The following is a 4,394-nucleotide window of genomic DNA, read 5'->3' on the forward strand; positions in this document are numbered from 1 at the left end:
GGTTTCACCATGTTGGCCGGGCTGGTCTCGAACTCCTGACCTAGAGATCCGTCCGCCTCGGCCTCCCAAAGTGCTGGGATTACAGGCGCGAGCCACCTCGTCCGGCTGTGAACATTTTTACAGCTTCCAGTCAGACCATGAACTCCACTATCACCACCTCTGGCCTGATAATTACATTTACTGGAAGCAAATCAGCTGAAGAACTCCCTTAGCCCCTTGAGGGAGTCCTTATCGGGGTCTATTAACTAATTTTCGTGCTGTTAAGTTGCAGGGCCTTGACTCCTGGGTACACATGTCGCATCTGAAGAACGCACTGACTCCTACCAGAAACTGACACCAAACTCAAGATGACCAAAGCCTCATCTTTAGACCTGGGCAAAGGTGACACTCAAAGTAAACTGCTTTCATGAAACACAGGGACAGGCCTGTATTCAAATACATTAAGGTTCATTTAGGCTGGGCGCAGTGGCTCACGCCTGTAATCCCAGCACTTTGGGAGGCCGAGGTGGGTGGATCCACGAGGTCAGGAGATCGAGACCATCCTGGCTAACAAGGTGAAACCCCGTCTCTACTAAAAATACAAAAAATTAGCCGGGCGTGGTGGCGGGCGCTACTCGGGAGGCTGAGGCAGGAGAATGGCGTGAACCCGGGAGGCGGAGCTTGCAGTGAGCCGAGATCGCGCCACTGCACTCCAGCCTGGGCGACAGAGCGAGACTCCGTCTCAAAAAAAAAGGTTCATTTAATAATTTTGCCTTTATTTGAAATAATGTAATATTTATTCTATGCCTAGATACTAAATAATTTAAAGGTTTAATTTTTTTTCTATCATTTGCAAAACTAGGCAGGGCTTGTGACCTTTTTGTTTAAAATGTTTTTAGCTCCTTGCGTTTGTTGTGCCTCCAGAATTTGAACTATACAATCCCTCCAGGCCCAGCATAAGATTGTAAGGGCCAATTCTGAGGAATAAAATTAATTCAGATCCTCCAACTGAATTAATGGATTCAGTCATTAATGGTCACAGAGATGCCTCAGCAGCTTAACAAAATGCTTGTGTTTTGTATAGCTAATTGCTACAAACCAGATTATGGTGGCTCAATGCACATAATTTATAAATAAGTCAATTATGTTACCTTGTCTTTTGGCTTTTGGTTTTTGGTTCTTATGTTGCTTAAAAGAGATTCGAAGGTTAATGAGTGCCTGCGCACTTCCATTCCATTTGGCTTAGAATAATTAATTGGTTATAAGTCTTTTGACTCTAAGTCCCTTAGCCGTAGGGGTCCCACTGAGGGACATGATAGACCTGGCACAGGTAGCACCCCCCCCCCCCCCCCCCCCCCCCGGCATCAATATGGGACAAAATAAAAGCTTGGCCATTGACACTGCCTCTGGCATACCTTTACAAAAAGCGGACTATAAACTAAAAAAAATCTGCATCCTCCCTAGTAGAATGGACACGCCTCTTGCCCAAAGGGGATCCAATTAAAAAAAAAAAAAAAACCTGAAAAACTAGTTCAGGCCATGATGGAAAGCTGGGGGTCAGACACGCCTCACTCCACTTTCCCCCATGCCTTGGAATTCAGGCACAAATGACCAGGCAAAATGCCTTTGCACCCTCGAAAAGAAAAACCCTCCTGCTGATTTTATGTGGGATGCTGTTAAAGCTGCTGTACCTTCTAGTACCTGGTTTTTACCACTTTTGGGCCCGTTAAGGGTGAGCTCATCGTTAATATTTGGCCCATGCATATTCAACTTGCTTGTAAAGTGCCTGTCTCTGGTTACAGCAGATCTAGGTAAAGGTGATCTTCAAGCTAGGGTTCCAGCTGCTTCCTGTCTTGGAATCAGACGCTCCTGCTGTCCCCTGGGGACCCTTAGATCAAGCAGCTGGAGATTCCCATGCCCTCGGTAGGCAGGGCCAGTGCTCTTAAATCAGCAGGAAGATGACACGGAAGACTGACCTCCTCCCTCATCTCCCTCAAGAATAAGGGATGGAATGGCTGAGCACGGTAGGTGGCTCATGCCTGTAATCCCAGCACTTTGGGAGGCCAAGGTAGGCAGATCGCTTGAGCTCAAGAGTTTGAGACCACCCTGCACAACATGGCAAAAACCCATCTCTACCAAAAATACAAAAATTAGCCGGGCGTGGTAGCACACACCTGTGGTCCCAGATACTCAGGAAGCTGAAGTCTGAGGATCGCTGGAGCCTGGGAAGGGGAGGCTGCAGTGAGCCATGATTATGCCACTGCATCCCAGCCTGGGTAACAGAGTGAGACCCTGTCTCAAAAAAAGAAAGAAAGAAAATAAATAAAAGAAGAAGGGATGGAAATCTCCAAGGGGGAAAATGAAATGGGAATAGCACTGGGTGGTCACAGGAGGATGGAAAAACCCAAACAACAGCTAGAATAAGAACGAGGCAAAGAAACCGCAGGTTAACAGAAAACCCAAAATAAGGAAGAGAAAATGGTCAAATCCTGGTCAGGGTGATATGTCCATGATCCTGGGAAAACTTGAATAAGGGTAAAAGTCTGTGGTAATGGGGGGAGGGAGTCCCTGAAATCACTCCTTTTCCAGAATACCTTATGATTATTCCACCCCCTAATTAAAAAAAAATCCATAAAATTAGAAACTCAAACTCTGATGTGACTCACTCTGCTGAGCACGCCCGCAATTCTCTTTTACGTGTGTGCTTTCGCTTTGCAGTAAAAGCTTCTTGCCTTTCGTTTCATTCTGACGTGTCCCTGAATTCTTTCTCATGCTGGTGTCAAGAACTTGGAAACTGGCTGGGGCTGGGGTCTCAGTGGCATCCAGAGACCCTCCGGAGACCTCCGACAGCTGTAGGTGATTGGGGGCGCCAATCACATAGGGGTCGGAGAGTGATGGAATGCACCTTAATTTTAATCTGAGTGTCATGGAAAACAGTTGGATGGTTCTATGCAGAGGAGTGACATGATCTGACTTATAGGAAAGATCATTCTATTGCTGTAGGAAAGCAGGGAGGTTAATTTATTAACAGAAGGTATTATGGGTTGAGTTGTGTCTCCTCAGAATATGTTAAATCCTAACCCCTAGTACCTGTGACTATAACCGTAACTGGAAGTGAGGTCTTTATAGATTATTGAATTAAGATGAGATGAGATCATTAGGGTGGGCCCTACTCCAATATGACTGGTGTCCTTAAAGGAGAGGAAAATCCCACGTGAGGACAAGGAGACCATCATGTGATGACAGAGGCAGAGGCTGGGGAGGGTGCCAAGGGCATTTTACAGTAAACCTGAAACACTCGTTCAGGCCGAGATGGAAAGGGGGGATGGATGCCTCATTATACCCTCCTCCCTTTGGAATTCAGGCACAGTTGACCAGCATTAACGTTAAAACAGAGACCTTAAGACTGACAAAGCAGAATTTTTGTAGCAATAAGATACCAATGTGACAGATTGCAAGCCCTGAAAGAAACTGGAGTATTTTACCCCAAATATATTCATTTGGCATATTTTGAAATAGCCTTGCAAAACTGTCTCTTTGGGGAAAAACATCTACATTCTGAGGAGACTCCCCTTCCTTTTCCAGGTCTTTTTCTTGATCCAGGAGATAATTTACTAAGAGTCCGGCACCTGAAGTTTGATAAGAAACATTTACAAAGTCCAGGTGAGGTGGGCCACACCTGTAATGCCAGCACTTTGGGAGTCTAAGGCAGAGGATCACTTGAGGTCAGGAGTTGGAGACCAGCCTGGCCAACACAGTGAAACCCTGTCTTTACTAAAAATACAAAAATTGGCCGGGTGTGGTGGTGCACGCCTGTAGTTCCAGCTACTTGGGAGGCTGAGTAGGGTGGATCGCTTGAACCTGGGGGGCAGAGGTTGCAGTGGGCCAAGATTGTGCCATTGGACTCCAGCCTGGGCAACAGAGTGAGACTCTGTCTCAAACAACAACAACAACAAAAAGAAACATCTACAATTCATTCTCTTTGAAGCCTGCTACCTGGAGGCCTCATCTGCACAACCCCTTATCTTAACCCAGACACTTCCTTCTACTGATTCCAAGTCTTTAAGTAAACTTTCTACCAATTGCCAATCAGAAAATCTTTGAATCCACCTATGACTGGAAGCTCCTCTCTTGGAGTTGTCCCACCTTTCTGGGCTGAACCAACGTACTTCTTACATGTACTGATTGATGTCTTCCGTATCCCTACCATGTATAAAACCAAGCTTAGCCCGACTACCCTGGGCACATGTTCTCAGGATCTGCAGGGGCTATGTTACAAGCCATGGTCACTCATCTTTGGATCAGAATAAATCTCGAATATTTTAGAGTTTGACTCTTTTCATTGACACTCATGCAGCAGACTATTGCCATCATCCAGGCCACACACTGTTAAATGGAAAAACCTTAGACACGTG

General features: G+C 45.9%; 2 annotated features.

The window, feature by feature from the left end:
• Positions 1,626 to 2,126: an enhancer, noted in NCBI's record as "H3K27ac hESC enhancer chr13:111262660-111263160 (GRCh37/hg19 assembly coordinates)". NCBI's record gives its function as "activates a minimal SCP1, AML or CMV promoter by ChIP-STARR-seq in naive H9 embryonic stem cells {active_cell/tissue: H9 hESC(naive)}" and the evidence as "EXISTENCE:reporter gene assay evidence [ECO:0000049][PMID:30033119]".
• Positions 2,127 to 2,627: an enhancer, noted in NCBI's record as "H3K27ac hESC enhancer chr13:111263161-111263661 (GRCh37/hg19 assembly coordinates)". NCBI's record gives its function as "activates a minimal SCP1, AML or CMV promoter by ChIP-STARR-seq in naive H9 embryonic stem cells {active_cell/tissue: H9 hESC(naive)}" and the evidence as "EXISTENCE:reporter gene assay evidence [ECO:0000049][PMID:30033119]".

The sequence above is a fragment of the Homo sapiens genome, chromosome 13, assembly GCF_000001405.40.
Source record: "Homo sapiens chromosome 13, GRCh38.p14 Primary Assembly".
Classification (NCBI taxonomy): domain Eukaryota; kingdom Metazoa; phylum Chordata; class Mammalia; order Primates; family Hominidae; genus Homo; species Homo sapiens.